This window comes from Homo sapiens, chromosome 7, assembly GCF_000001405.40.
Source record: "Homo sapiens chromosome 7, GRCh38.p14 Primary Assembly".
NCBI lineage: Eukaryota > Metazoa > Chordata > Mammalia > Primates > Hominidae > Homo > Homo sapiens.
The window spans coordinates 127710365-127726835 of record NC_000007.14 but is presented as its reverse complement, the minus strand read 5'-3'; the positions used below and the strand labels follow the sequence as shown (position 1 = coordinate 127726835).

The window sequence follows — 16471 nt, the reverse complement described above, 5'->3', positions numbered from 1 at the left end:
TATACACCTGGGGATTGGGTAAATTATGTACCTGTTTTCAAGGTAAATTTCAGCTCTGTATCTCTTAGTCAACTACAATAGCACCGCAAGAACAGACTTCAGGGAGAATAAGTCAGCCCCTTCATCGGATGCCTGGGGGCTGTTTCCTTTGTCATTAACACTCCAAGTGTAACACAAAGCCCACAGCAGCCCTGGGCAATAGAGCACTAGGCTTTCCAGTTTCAGATCAAAGCCAAGCACTCTCTAGGAAGTCCTGAGATCGCAAAATGTGTTATCTCCTTTAAGGCAGCAGCTCAGAAAACCCACAGCCTTTCTCCAAGATTTAGCACATTCCTTTATAGCAAACAACTGGATAAAACAAACTATACCTTTAGAGAAACCCTGATACATGGCCAGGTTCACAAGAGCATCACACGTCAGCTTTCTTAACTGGCTCTCAGCCTGAAAGAGTTAACGTCTCCTACGGGTTGACACTGGATTAATCCAGAAGCAGGGTGCCACAGAAACACCGTCAACATCAGACAAATCCAGCTAGAATTCTAGAGAGGGAAATATTGCACATCCCTCCTTTTAACTCTCGCATAACACTATCTAGGAACAAACCAAGCTCCAACCAAAATCCAGAAGTGGCTACCCATGAATTTCCGGGTAATATTGGAAAGCCTAGGATGAAAACAGTTCCTTTGATCACAGTGTTTGTCCAAGTACTTCCTCTGGCTCCAATTAGAAAGTAACCAAATTAAGGGAGCAGAAATATGGTTAGCCATAGGCAAAAAGCTCATCTTCCAGTATAATTTAAGAGAAATGAACTTGTCTCTGTGTACAAAACAGAAAAAAACAATTTGCCCTACTACCCTCCAAATGTAGAGTTGTCTCGGAGGAAGAAAATATTAAAAGAACCTCCCCCATGCTTCCTTGAAGGGAAAGTCCCATTGAGTCCTCATCTGGGAGCTAGCAGTGGAGGCCCGCCCTAGAACAGGAATGTCTGCCCCATCTGCCTGTCCTTGAGGAAGCCCATGCCACAGACTTTCCCTCTTCTCCTACTCATCTAGTTCCTTATTCTGCACCCTCTCCCGCTTTGTTCTTTGGTTTGGAAAAGGCTCTGGTACCGTAAGTTTTCAGGTTATCCTTTCCATGCCAAAGCCATTGACCCCCAGGCAGAGTCCTGTAATTAGAGAGAAGGAAATGTCCTTAGTGTTTCTTTCAAGGCCCTCCACCGTCCATCCATCACAGACCTTCATCTCTTAACATTCCTCAAGCACTCCATGTTTCCGCAACTACAAAACCACTCCTCAATTTCCAAAAAATGCCCTTGATGTTTTCCTTGGAGATTCTACCAGCCTGTTCTAACTAGGGCAGGCCCATATTTTTACCCATGCTGTGCCTTGCAGAAGGGTACCTGGCAAAGCGGACAAAGGGAGAACAGGAGCTAAAATTTAGCTTCCATTCTGCTTGCCAAGCCATGGCCCCTGGCATGATGCTGACAGGAAGAAGCAGTACCCTTCTCTAAATTTGCACAAAGATGCCATATGAGCTAACAGAGGTCCTGGCCCCAACATCTATGCCATGAATACTCAACTGGGCTCCACTTGTGACTGTAACAGCTGGTACGTAGTAAATGAAACCAGAAACCTAAGACTCCGAGAGGATGCCTGTTGCTCAGTCTTTAAACACATACAGTTACAGTCACACTAGGATGCCCAGGTGATGTTTCTTACCACACCCATATTGTAAATCTCTGGTAACTTTAACATAAGCATACAGCAGGATCTTGTATTCTTTATAAGAGCTCTGGGGAATTCTTTTTTCTTCTTCTTTTTCTTTTTTCTTTTAGTAATCTCAGGCCAAGGAAAGGGGCAGGGGTTGGCGTGGGGGGATTTCTTTAAGTCAAAAGGCAAGTATAAAGAAGGACTGCTGGAGCAGCATCCATAGTTCTCACTCATCAGCCTGAAAGAGTTAACGTCTCCTAAGACATTAACTCTTCATCATGCCATTTTCCAGGTCTTTGGTCAACTGAAACTTACCAAAAGAAAATCCAGAGTTCCTTGCTAAAGTAAGTTTTTACCAGGCATAATATTCTCTCTATATGCAAACTGCTTTCATATCTTGTAAATTCAAACAACCGAAACAAGAGTATTTTAATCCAAACATGCCACTCACCAATTCAAAATTCTTCAAGACAAAACCTAAAATGCATGGCATATAAGCCTTCAACAAGTGGTCCCTGTCTAACTCCCAGGCCCATTTCTTAACACTCCCCTGAAATTTATCCTCTATTCCAGTCATACAAAATCACTTGCAGTTCATCATATGCCCCATTTTCTCTCTCCCTTCCTGAGTATCCTAAGATGTTCACAGGACATGTTTGATCTGGCCTTGCCTGTGGTTTCGTACCACACAGGTGTCATACCACTCATGCACCGTCCACAGGAGCCATCCATTCTCTAGTCCCCAAAACTCATTCTTGTCATTGCTGCTCTCCAGGTCAGAAACTGTCTTCTCCCACTTTTTATCTAGCTAATTCCTAATATCTCTTCAGGCCTTAAATGTCACTTCCTCAAAGTAGCCTTCCCAAACTATGCACTCTCCTAAACTCTAAGCTTTTCTTTCATAGCACTTAACGTAAATGAAATTACTTGTGTATTTCCCCTACTAGACTCTAAAGTTCCATGAGGCAGAGAAGGGACATCTATTTATTCCCTGCTGCACCCCCAACACAGTATCTGGCACAAAATAAGTATCTGTAAATATGTACCAACAATGACTACCTGTTCATGCAAATTTCTAAAGCTGTGCTATCCATAATGGTAGCCACTAGCCTCATGTGCCTATTGAGTCCTTGAAATATGCTATGATGAATTAAAATGTAGTGCCAATGTACAATACATACCATATTTCAAATATTCAGTTTTAAAAAGGGGAAGAACGTCTCATTTATTTTTCATATTCATTAAATGTTGAAATGATATAATAATTTGGATATAAGTCAAATTTAAAAATTACAATTAATGTTTCTTTTTAGTTTTTTAACGTAGTTATATGATAATTTAAAATAACAAATAGAGCTCACATGTGTGGCTCATATTTATATATCTGTTGGACAGCGCTGGCCTAGAGAGCCATTCCTCCTGTTGACTCACTTCTCATCCTTGACACTCACAAGGTACAGCAGCTGACCTGGGAAGATCACCCAGACCACCCACCAAAACCGGCTACTCTTCAGGGTACCTTCTACCACTACATTCAAGGTTCATTATATTAACTTATTTCTTACGTGGCCCTTCAGTAAACTCTTCCAAAGGACTTTAACAGACAAATAATGGAAATCATTCCTCCATCTTCCTCACAAGCCATATGTTGTAGATTATTGCAGCTAAGTCTTACTTAGAACTGTCTTAAAATGGAGTAAGATCTCAGGAGTGAACAGGAAGAAAAAGAAAGAATAAAGAAAAAAGAAGAAAAAAAAGAGGTAACACGCCTTGTAAGAGACAAGAAATTCTATAATCAGGATTCTGCCTAAACTAGGAAATACTCCAATTCCAACAATTTCCTGTCAGCCAGTAGGCTAAGGGAAATGCATCGTTTACCCACTGATGAGTTCCAAAGGATACTGGGACTAAAAATACTCAGTAGTAGGTTAGTGCTTACTTCAGAAAACCTGCTATCATCCTACCTAAGCTATAACACCCCCATCCCCCTAAAAACTGCTTAAAATTCAGCTATATAGTCTACATTAACATAATGCACTGGCTGATGATACAGGCACAAAAATTAACGTTCAAGAATTTCAAAGTTGTGGTTGCTGTGGGAACCTTAATTCCAACTGTACGGCACAGATGCAGAATTGTGGACTACTCCCAATACTGATAAAATTGGAGATGTGTATTTACTCTGTGCAATGAGGCAGAGCTACAGTTACTGAGAGAACCTTATTTTGGCATTTCTAGGCTTTCATACATTTAAATTCTCAACCTTACCATAATACTGTTTGCTGCATTAAACTGCCTCCTCTAAGGGAAAAAAAGAGAGAGAAAGAACTGATTGGCCAGACATTCAAATCACCCATCCTGTACGTGGTTTTTATGTATGATCTGATTCAAAAGACAATCATATTTTTATTTTACTCTTACGGGCTGTCTATAAACTCTCACACAAATGAAAACAATGCTGAATTTCAACTTGTGAATGCACCAAGATATGTATATGTGCAAAACATCAGAATAGCAAATTTCACACCTTTAGAACCACTGCACCCAACTTATCTACCTTTTTTTAGTTATCCCTTTATACAAAAGGGATTTTTTTTATCCCATCCTTTTTGTATAAAGGCATAAATAAAAAAAAGGTAGATAAGTTGGGTGCAGTGGCTCACACCTATAGTCCTAGCTACTCAGGAGGCTGAGACAGAAGGACTGTTTGAGCCCAGGAGTTTGAAGTTGCAGGGCGCAATGATCACACCTGTGAATAGCCACTGCACTCCAGTGTGGGCAACATAACAAGACCCTGTTTCTTAAAAAAAAAAAAAAAAGCAGGCAGTAGATAGTACACACAGCAGTAACTTCAATCCACAATAGTTAATTACTGAAAACTGTCCAAATGTTTGCCTTTGGCGCTGGCTCTCACTGAGGAACTAGTTCTATAACTAGTTAACATAATCACACAGTTTAGTTATCAGACGACAAAAACAGAAGCGGGAAAGACGTCTGTAAAAATATGACATAACCAAATCCCCAAAAATTTTCAACCTTAATCCCTATTCCCAATTCTCATAACTCTTATGGCTACATAACTGTCATGACTACAAAAAAAAATCAGTCTATCTGCACATGTAATACCAGCTCTTGTTAGAGTTTTCATACAAAGCATTTCTCAAAAATGATATACCTGAGTCATACACCAACCTATCTGCCAAAAGATCCAAAAAATAGCAAACAGTTTAACTACTAATTAGAGTTACTACCTGCAAAAAATGAGTAGGTGACCCCAGTGAATACATATACCAAGATTCATTTCTTCCTAGAGCAAAAACATAAAGAACTATCAAATCAAAATGACCAGCAGAAACGGGTCCTATTACAATGTACACGAGATACAGACCTTCTCCTCTCCTTATTCACAGAAAAATAAGATCTTGTTAATTAAACTCATCCACCATCTCACATATCCCAACCCTCACTGCACTCAAGCCCCCTGGGGAGAAGTGCCAACAGTGCCCACGTGAAATTCGGCAGAGCAGTGGGTGTGGGCCACAAGACACTGAGACCTGCCCAATAGTAGTCAGGCTATAAATATTAGAAAATAATACTGTGGAGATTTAAAATACTTGTCCCTTTGCATTCCCACATATATGTATTATATATGTCATATATTAATCAATTCTCCAACTTCTTCCTTTTGGTTTATGCAAAGAGGCGCGGCTGCTTCCCTATTCTCACCTGGGTGTTCTCCCCCTCCAGCCTCGGTGGTCGGATGCTGGACAGGTGAATCGTCTTGTAATCGCCTGAGTTCAGCTTCACAACAATGGCATCAGCATTCAGAACCTGCATCACCTGTGAGCAAAAAGGAACATGCTTAAACCTGCTTCTATGGCCCCCATCACATGTCCAAGAGCAAGGCCCACCACCCTCACAGGTAGAAAGTGAGATCAATAGCCATTTGTGGGAAAAACAGTATCATCCTTCATGGTGCAACAATGTCAGAGAAAACTATGCTATAATTATCAGTTCCCAGAGACCTTATTATGATTTCTCAATGAGACAAAATCTGTATCATTCATAAAGATGGTCAATCTTTTTTTATTTTTGCCCTGACAAAGATTTGTGGTTCACTACAAAGCTTAAGAACTGGAAATCCTGTCTCTACATGTAATTGAAGATTTTCCTTGAAACAGCTTCTAAACTAAAATCAAAATCTCAATGTGAATCTAGAAAAAGAGGCAAGGGTTGGATTTGAAGAAGATACCAGCACTAGATGAGAAAGAACCAAAATAGGATGCCCCAATAGAGAGCAGAAAAATCAAAGGCAAGTGAAGGGCAAAAAGAATTGTCATCTCAGCATGGGAAAGGAGATGCTCAGCTGTTAATCTCACAGGCAGAAACATGAAATTACTGAGATATTACCTCAGATACTCTGAAAGCCACCTTTTCAGAGCACTACTACTACGGACATCTTTGTTTTGGAACCCAAGATCAGTAACACAGAACCCCACGCTCAGAAGAAAAAGAACTAGTCTGGGATAAATTACAAGGGTATGTAGTCAAAGGACAAAAGCATAAATACTCCTCTGTGAAGGTTATTAGAACATTCTACAATGTGTGCAGAATAAAACTCCATTCAAACTGGGATCTTACCACATCAGTGTTGTAGCTAGAACGCATAATACAGCCAGCAGTCTACAATTTGCCCAATTATATTCAATGCCTTTTTTTTTCTTTGAAGCAACACTTTATTACAAGGTAGCTGCAGACTACAAAACACTATCACCATCTACTTCATCTGCAGAATCAAAATCGAACTCTTCTAGGCTTCAATCGGGCCTCTTTAAGAGCTACCAGACTGAACAAACTTACAGGGTCAGCTGCCACACAGCAAGGGCGGACTGGCAAAATTTCCCTCCTCTTTCATGCGTGAAACAAAAGGAGCTAGACTCTTTTTTGCCATCATGGATGTCACACTGATAAGTATCTTAAAGGAGGCCTCTCTAACTATTTCTTGAAAGGCCTTAGATCTTCTAGCACAGAATGTATTCATTTACTTGCAGCTTCCTCCAAAAACAGCAATTCTCTACCTTTTCCAAAGAACCAACCAGCCACACACCGGAAACACAAAGAACCAACCAACCACACACCGAAGAGTAAGGAATGCCTTAAGAAACAATCTCAAGAAGGATAGAAAACATAAACAAGTGAGAAATTATATGTAACAGAAAACAGCAGGAGTTAAGTGCCATCAAACAGAATGAATGAAAAAACAAAGATGACAGCTGGAATCAATCTGTAAGTCCATAGAAGGTTTACTATGGCTGGTGGATGGGAAGGTATCCCTGGGTTTTACCACTGTAAGCAATGAAAGCAGTGTAGAGAAGAACAGCCCAGCAATCAGAAAAGTAATGAAAGTTCTAAGAAAGAACTGAGTAGATCAGGAGAAATTTTTAATTTTCTACTATACTTAAAATTAACTTACAACCCTGAAAACAGGAAAACGACAACTTCAAATAACCATAACCATTCTCCTATAACCTTTTTGACAGATCTGAGAATCATAGGCTAAACACTAAAACCCAGAGAGCCAGAACCCAAAATTCATCTTGCCAGAAAAACATGAAGATTAATGGTAATCAAAGGCAGGATGAGTGATCACACCAGGACCAAGGTCAGGGCTAGCTACCCCAAACCAAACAGCCCCTTAATGCCAGCCCAATCACAAAAACATATTCATGAGTTTAGAACTTAAAAACTGTCTAGACAGTATAACCAAAAATACAGATTCAGTCACTGAAAGAAAAAATAGAGTACATCTTATTCCCATTACCATCTAAACACACTAATGCCAAGTAAAAATGTACACAGTAATGGAATTCCAGTAGTGGGTTGGACAATTGACCAAAAAGAAAGACCCCAGCTAATGATTTCCTGGTCCTTCAAAATCCCACATTTGGATGAAGGGAAAGATATTATAAAATGGATAACAGAATATTTCAGGGGGGCAGTTTCCATGATATCTGCTATTGTGGTATCCTAATTTCAAGCTAAAGAAAAGAAAAAAAATTCCACTAAGCCATACCAAGCAAAATAGCTACTATAGCAAATCAATACCACTCCTCCTCCAAACAGATACCCAAAGGATAGAGGGTAACTGTCAGATGATGTATCAAAGGCACATACATCACAGGATTTCCCAAATCTTAATACTGGACAGATCTACACCTTCTCTCAAACCAAAACAAATTCTTGTTGTGAATTCCCAAAAACATAAGGAAATTCCTATAATCAAGACACGAGAAATATCTAGACGTTTTCTGCTCCCTAGTCATGCTTAGAGAGTAATAAAACCAAAGAAAGTATCATAGTGCTCACACCTTTACCTGCTGATTACAGAACATGAAGATCTAAGGATGTCCTGTAACAAGTTACTGGAATTAGGCACCCCTTGTAATATGTTAGCAGCAACGGCAGCAATGAATTCTTAGAGCTGTAAATTTTAGGCCCCAGCAGCAGACTCTCTCTGCTGCTCAGCATCTCCCTGATTAGAAACCTCCTCTTCAGGAACTGTGCACTCTGCCACTGCCAGCTAAGCAAGGTTTAGCTTGCTGGTGAAGATAGGAAGGGTGAGTGCATGCGTGCGTGTCCGCGTGTGTGTATAAGTGGGGTTTATGGTTTTTTATTCCTCTGTAAATTGTGTCATTACTGTCCAGAGAACAAGCAGCTCCTGAGCAGAGACATGGAATCGGCAATAAAATACTGATTATAGCCACGTACTGTGCAGTAAGTGAGATGCAGAGTGGATTACTGTCTGAAGCCAGCTCATCAGCACCATTACGGACCACATTTTAACAGTGATATTTCTTCTGGTGCTTTTCATCAGGATAACTGAAGTATGCCCACACTGCCCACTTTCTCTGCTAGCTACAGATCTCTAATCAAGCCAACCCCATGCACGCTCACACCCCACACACCAAGAGATAACCTAAGGCATAGGAGCAAAAGTCTACATGGAAAAAGTCATTAGCTGGACTCAAATACATGCACTAAATCCAATTCCCTCCCCATTTCTTGAAGCCCAATCATAAAAGGAAAAAATGGTTTAATGATAATAAGGTGTAGGCTAAGGGCTGCCATGAGTCAAGAAAACCAGAGTTCCGTTAGGGGAACATCCATGCCTATCTTCAGCCTCTGTCACACTCTCTCATCTGTACAGCCCATCCACAGCGCTCACTGGGTGCAACGGGCTGCTGTTATTCAGATTCTGAAAACCCTGAAGCACACATAAAACAAACAAAAAAGCTTCCTTTTTGTTCAACAGCTTCCTGAGCTGTGGACATAACCACCAATAGCCCCAATGCTGCCAAAATTTCCAGTACCAGATAGAAACAAAAGGATTCTCAGCCCAAAAGGGCCTTCTACAAGCATGACCAGAGACTGTGGTTTGATGACGTCACTGAGAATGACACACAGATACCTATTCTCCTCTCTGAAATCATGACATCTGGCTGTTTTTCCCACTCCCTAAGGTTGTATGCTATGTCTCTTCTCCCCAGTCCCCTAGAAGAGTACAGCTGCCACCCTTGTCCTCAACAAAAACAAACCACAACAATATCCTGATGCAGGCACTTCCAGGCACCTAAGCACAACCAAACCAGATACTCTTAAGATGTACTTACATGGAAATCAGGCATCAGACAACTTTCAACAGAGGGACGTCCTACACACTACCTGACCAGTACTTCAAGATTGTCAAAGTCATCCAAAACAAAAAAAAAGTCTGAGACACTGGCATATCCAAAAGGAACCTAAGGAGATATGACAACTAAATGCAATGTGGTATCCTGGAACAGAAATAAAGTATAAATAAATGAATACCTGAATAAAATATAAACTTTAGTTAATAAAAATGTATCTATATTGATATACTAACTATAACAAAAATACAATACTCCCGTAAAATATTAATGACAGAGGAAACTGGGCTGAGGGTGGATGAGTAATATAAGAACTCTGTGCTACCTGCTTAATTTTTCTGTAAATCTAAAGAGTGACCTAAAAAATGAAGTCTCTAATAATTTAATTTTTAAAGCCAGGTTAATATTCTTTCAATCTCTTCTAACTCAATCACTTTCTTTTTCTTATCAGCACACTGGTTTACTAGTATAAGCTGCAAACCAAGTCTTGATCCCTTTTTGGTTCAGCAGAGCCCACCTTTCTAGTGAGACAATCTCCAGAACTTCCTTTCCAACTGAAAGTCAAATGGCAAAAGGCAAGGAAGTGGCAGGTATTTTTTGATTCTCTCCATATTATCACATAGGAATATACTGGAGAAATCCAGATAATGCCAAAAATATTCAGCTGCATCCTTGCTTAAAAACCATGTCAGAGAGCCACTTCCATTTAACATAGTACTGACAGTCTTAGCCAAAGAAGTTCAGCAAGAAAAAGAAACAAAAGGCATCTAAATTGGAAGGAAAGAAATAAAATTATCACTGTTCCCAGATGACGTATAGGTAAAAAACTCTAATAATTCCACAAAAACTGTTAGAATAAATGAATTCATGAAGTAGCAGGATATAAAGCCAACACACAGAATCAGCTGCATTTCTATAAATAATAAACAATCCAAAAAAAAAAAAACCTAAGAAAATAGTTCCTTTTCCAGTATCATCAAAAAAGAACAAAATACTTAGGAATTAACTCAACCAAGGAAGTGAAAAACTTGTACAAAGAAAACTACAAAACACTGTTGAAAGAAATTAGAGACATAAATAAACGGAAACACGTCCCATGATCATGGACTGGAAGACAATACTGTCAAGATGTCAATACTACCCAAAAGCGATTTACAGATGTAATGCAACCCTTATCAAAATCCCAGTGATGATTTTTATGGAAACAGAACAGCTCATCCTAAAATTCATATGGAATCTCAAGAGACCCTGAATAGCCAAAACAATCCAGAAAAAGGACAAAGCAGGAAAACTCACACTTCCTGATTTCAAAGCTTACTACAAAGCTACAGTAATCAATACCACATGGTACTGGCATAAAATCAGACATACAAACCAATGAAACAGAATGAAGTCCAGAAATAAACCCTTGCATATACAGTCAAATGATTTTTGAGATGGGTGCAAAGACCATTCAATGAGGAAATGACTGTCTTCAACAAATGGTCCTAAGAAAACTAGATATCCTCATGCAAAAAAACAAAGTTGAACCCTTATGTAACACCAAAACTAAAAACAAACTCAAAATGGATTCATTACTTAAATATAAGACCTATAAAACTACAAAACTCTTAGCAGAAAACACAGGGCAGAAACTTTGCAACATTGGATTTGGCAATGATTTCTCAAATATGACACCAAAGGAACAGGCAACAATAGTACAAATACAAATTAGATTTCATGAAAATTTTGTGTAACAAAGTAAAAGGCAACTGACAAAATAGGAGAAAATATTTGCCAATCATATACCCAACAAAGGATTAATATCCAGAATATATAGAGAACTCCTAAAACTCAACAACAAAAAAACAAAAACCTCAATTAAAAAACAGGCAAAGAGGCTTACAAGTGGGAGCTAAGCACTGGGTACACATGGACTAAAGACAGGAACAATAGACACTGGGGACTCCTAGAGCTGGGGGAGAGTAAGGGAGGGGACCAGGGCTGAAAAACTTCCTATTGGGTACTACGCTCATGACCTGGGTGACTGGATCATTCCTACTCCAAACAATATACCCATGTAACAAACCTGCATATGTATCCCCGAATCTAAAAGAAAAGTTGAAATTTCTTTTTCAAATGCGCAAAGGACTTGAATAGACATTTCTCCAAAGAAGATATGCAAATGCACAGGAAAAGATGCTCAACATTACTAATCATTAGGGAAATACAAATGAAAACCACAATGAGACATCACCTCACACCTATTAGGGCGGCCACTATAAAAAAAAAAAACAAAACCAAAAAAAACCCAGAAAATAACAAATGTTGGTGAGGATGTACAGAAAGTAGAACCCTCGTGCACCGATGTAAAATGGTACAATATAGTAATTCCCTCAACAACTTAAAAATACAATTACCATATAATCCAGCAATTCCATTTTTGGGTACAAACTCAAAATAATTGAAAACAGGGTCTCAAAGAGATATTTGTATAACCATGTTGATAGCAGCATTGTTCATAATAGTTAAAATGTAGAAGCAACCCAAGTGTGTCCCCATGGACACATGAACAGGTTGTAAGCAAAATGTATACACATACAATGGAATATTATTTACCCTTAAAAAGGAAGAAAATTCTGACTCATCCAACAACATGGATGAACCCTGAGGACACTATGCTAAATGAAATAAGACAGTCACAAAGACACAGACTGTCTGATTTCACTTATATGAATTACTTAGAGTAGTCAAAATCACAGAAGCAAAAAGTAGAATTGTGGTTGCCAGGGCCTGGAAGAGGGGAAACAGAGGGATGTAGAGTTATTGCTTAATGAGTATAGTTTCAGTTTTATAAAATGAAGAGTTGTAGAGATATGTGGTGGTGATAGCTACATAGCAATATGAATATAAATACCACTGAACTGTACACTTAAAAATCGTTAAGATACTACATATTATGTTATGAATTTTGTCATTATAAACAATTTGAGGAAAAAAATTCTCAGAGACATGATAATGAACTCCATCTAGAGCTATGACTGGAAGCACAGCAAAAAACTATCAGGGTAAATAAAACCAAATACATTTTAAAATCTACTGTACCCATGGACAGTTTATATCCTGATCTCCAAAACTGGACTTGGCCACCAATGCCAGTTAACCACTTACTGCTCCCAGACAAAGCCCTAGCAGGTAAGCTCCTTGAAGGCAGGAACCACTTCTAGTTATTTTACATCTTTTCAAAGCACCTAGTTCAGGGCTCTGCTTAATCTATATATAGGTACAGAGGACCAAGCAAGAAGCCTCTAACCAGGTAGGGTGGTAAGGAGACACCTCTTGAGGACATGATTCCACTCCATCCCTCCCCCACCCCCCACAACAATGTTATTCAGGTCTGTGAAATCTGCAATGCCCAAGGATCCAGCAGCAGGAACAGGGAAGCCAAGCCACGTGCTCAGGGGACCATATGGCTACAAACAGCACAGATCAGCTAAAACGCCACAGGGAAGGCAGGGAGGGAACTGGCAGGCCACGACGGGCACAAAAGTCTCGGGCAAGCTCAGCTAATCGCTGTGAAGTGAACATGCTTCTCTGCTAACCTGGAAAGACAAGGAGAGCCCTTCCTTTGCATTTCATTCCTCAAGAAGTAAAACTGCTTAAGCAGACAAAGGGAACCAGTCTCTCAATAGGCCACATGTATCAGAGAATACTTTGTCAAGTTTCACATTTCTCAGGCTTAATAAGCCTCTTGGCACTCTGACCTACAGCTTTGCCTCAGTTCCAGAAATCAACTGTAGAGCCCCAGAGGCATCCAGTTAGAGGCCATAGGTTACCCTTTGCAGGCTTTTGAGGCTTTTAGCGGGGCCCTGTACAATTAATTCCTAAAAAACAGGGTGATTGTTGAAGAGAGAATCACTATTTGTTAAGGCTTCACAATCACATGATCTTGAAAGCAGAATCACTCAGGGAAGACTTGCAGGACTTTCAGACTATGTGAAGGTCCCAGGTATCTTAGAACTTTTTTAGGATTCCCTGAAAAAAGCTGTTTGCCACTAACAGATATTTTAAATCAGGTAAAATGATACAGAACTGCTGTTGAGTTCCAGGTTATGAAAAGTAATGCATGTATTTTTTTCCATTTTTAACTTAATGTTGCTATCCAGTGTTCTACAAGAAAGGCTGGCAAACTATGGCCCAAGGGCCATCCAGCCCACTTCATATTGTTATAAAGTTTTCCTGGAATATTGCCACAACCATTCATTTACACACTGTCCATGTCTGTTCTCCTGCTACCATGGCAGGGTTCAGTAGTTGCAACAGAGACCACATGGCCACCAAGCCTAAAATATTTACAATGTGGTCCTTTAAGAAAAAGCTGTCCAATCCCTGTTTTACAACATATTAGAAAATGAACACACTTAGTGGTATATACTGGTTAACATTTCTAAAGACATGTTTGGCAAATGTGAGCCAAATAATTTCTAAGGAAATAACTGCCAATTACTTGGAGATTTATTCCACTTTCTAAATAACGAAAAAAATTCTCAACTACATGAATATAAACCTATTAGAGACTGGTCAAAAATATTATGTTGCAGCCTACAATGAAATATTACACATCAATTAAAGAAGTAAGCTCTTTATTTTGGGTCCCTCTCTAAACACCTCTAGATAAAAGGGATCTGTAAAACGTATCTATACATAAGCCCAAAAGGAAGAAGATAATGAGAGAGAACACTGCAACAAAACCCTGGAAGCTGGAAAGCAGATGGATGAGTAGTAACTTACTCCACTGACTCACAAAAGCTAAATCCTGAGACAGTGGCGAGAAAACACAATAGGCAATCTGATTTATACCGCAGTCCCACTCTCCCTAATCTGCCAAGACTCAGAAACTGTCAAATCAAGCATCTCAATTGGGAATGAAAATGGGACCAAAAATGATGGATGGTTTCAAATCTTTGTAAGAAGCAGATGGATTTCAAGATGTATACCCTGGCCAGGCATGGTGGGTCACACCTATAATCCCTGCAACTTTGGGAGCTCAAGGTGGGAGGATCACTTGAGCCCAGGAGTTCAAGACCAGCCTGGGCAACATAGGGAGACCTCATCTCTACAAAAAATTTAAAAATTAGCCAGGTGTGTTAGCGTGCACCTGTAGTCCCAGCTATTCGGGAGGCTGAGGCACGAGGATCGCTTAAGCCCATGAGCTTGAAGCTGCAGTGAGCTGTGATGGCACCACTGCACTCCAGCCTGGGTGACAGAGCAAGACCCTGTCTCAAAAACAAACAAGCAAATATGTATACCCTAAATCCCACACTAGGGTCATTGCTTCTAAACTCAGTGTTTTAATATCTTATTCTCAAATAAGACAGAAAACCAAGACTCAGCAAATATCTGAGGAAAGCCTCTAATATGAAAAATAAGGGACCAAAATAACCCAAGAAGGGGAGAGGAGAGGCTTGAAGAACATAGTGAGTGCGCAGTAAAAATGAAACTAAAAAAAAAAAAATCAATTTCGCAGAAAGCTAAGAGATGATTTTTATCTCTGAAGTCAGTATAAAACTTTATTTTTTAAAATAGTAAAAGAGAAACATGCAGAGAACAAAAAAAGTTCTTAAAAAATAAAACAGTATCATGTCAATAAAACTACTGAAAGGTAACTATAAAGAAATCTAAAAAGAATAGAAGATGAGACAGAAAATAGGAGAAAAAAACTGGAAGATGAGCCCACAAAATCCAACAACCAAATAATAGGAGTTCTAGAAAAAAGAGAACAAAGATTCTAGATGGAAACCAACAAAAGAGTTGGGAGAAAAAGTCTCAGAACAAAACAACTAAACATTGAGGCATAATATGCTCAAATATAGATAAACAAAGTGCATCGCTATGAAATGTTGGAACACTAGGATCAAAAAGAATTTGCTAAAACCTTTCAGAAAGAAAAAAATATATAAGGATAAGAAATCAGGATGGTTTCAGATCCATAAAAAAATTAGAAATCAAAAAAGTTTCTGATAACTACTGACAGTGGAGTGATACTGATAGATACAATTCTAATGGAAAATGACTTCTAAAATAAAATTCTATATCCAGCTAAACTATCAAGTGTATGTAGAGAATGGACATGAAAGGTCTCAGAAAATTTACCTCCCAAGCATTCTTTGCCATGAAGTTAGAGAATGTATGCCACTAAAACAAAGTTGCAAATTATAAAGAGAAAGCTGTGAGATCCAGCAATCCTAGCTCCAATCCAAGAGTAAGGCAAAGAAATCCCTCAGGACAATGGTGAAGAAATCCAAAGATGACAGCTCTAAAACAGGCAAAAAGAGAAACCAGTCCAGATTGATGCAGGTTGCAAAGCTCCAAGATACTGTTAGCAGACTGAATGAATCTCCTCTTGAGAGGAGATTTAGACAGAGTTTGGAGGCTGAATTAAAATAAGTATGTAAAAAAATGTAAATTTTAAAAATTATTAACTCCAGGGAAAACAAAAAAATTTTGCAGGAAACTAGAAGTAGCCATAATATGCTATATAGCACTGTGGTGATTATCACTTAAAATAAATACTGACTATTAACTAACTTATGACATAATCATATTGGAAGAACTGGGTAAGAGCACTGTGCGCCCTCTTGAGTATGTGTGCTTATGTGAAAAAACTAAGTCCTCCTCTTCCATGGTATGAAGGAAAGGAGTTGCCCTTAAACTGAAAAATTAAGAAATAGCCATGTAAATGTTTTATTCAGGGATGAATTAGCCAAGAGTTGAAAGTGACTGCCTCAAGGAAGAGTGAAATTGAACTGGTACATTCTTTAGTAAGCCTATAAAAAATTTTTAAATTTTCTGTATTAAAAATAAAAATGTGCAAACTTAAAAATTACACACAAAAGAGTACAGATCAGTGCTATTCAAAGTGGCTGCCAGTCTGCAGTAAGATAAGGAACTTGTACTAGAACATTAATCAACTACATCACTAAGAACATTGCTGACTTTTTTTTTTTTTTTTGTAGTAAGCTTTTCTTGATGAAGGAAGTAATGCCTTGATTTACATTCTGGCCCAAGCTCCTTATGTCACTTTATCAAGGCATT

General features: G+C 38.9%; 1 protein-coding gene across 2 annotated transcripts in view; it reads right to left on the bottom strand.

Annotated features, from left to right (window-relative positions):
- SND1 (staphylococcal nuclease and tudor domain containing 1) overlaps positions 1 to 16471 on the bottom strand; it is a 440400-nt gene that overhangs the window by 365758 nt on the left and 58171 nt on the right. For both annotated transcript variants that reach the window (NM_014390.4, XM_017011987.3), the window contains exon 10: positions 5436 to 5549. In NM_014390.4, the coding sequence (NP_055205.2) occupies positions 5436 to 5549 (114 nt within the window). The remainder of the gene's footprint in view (positions 1 to 5435; positions 5550 to 16471) is intronic.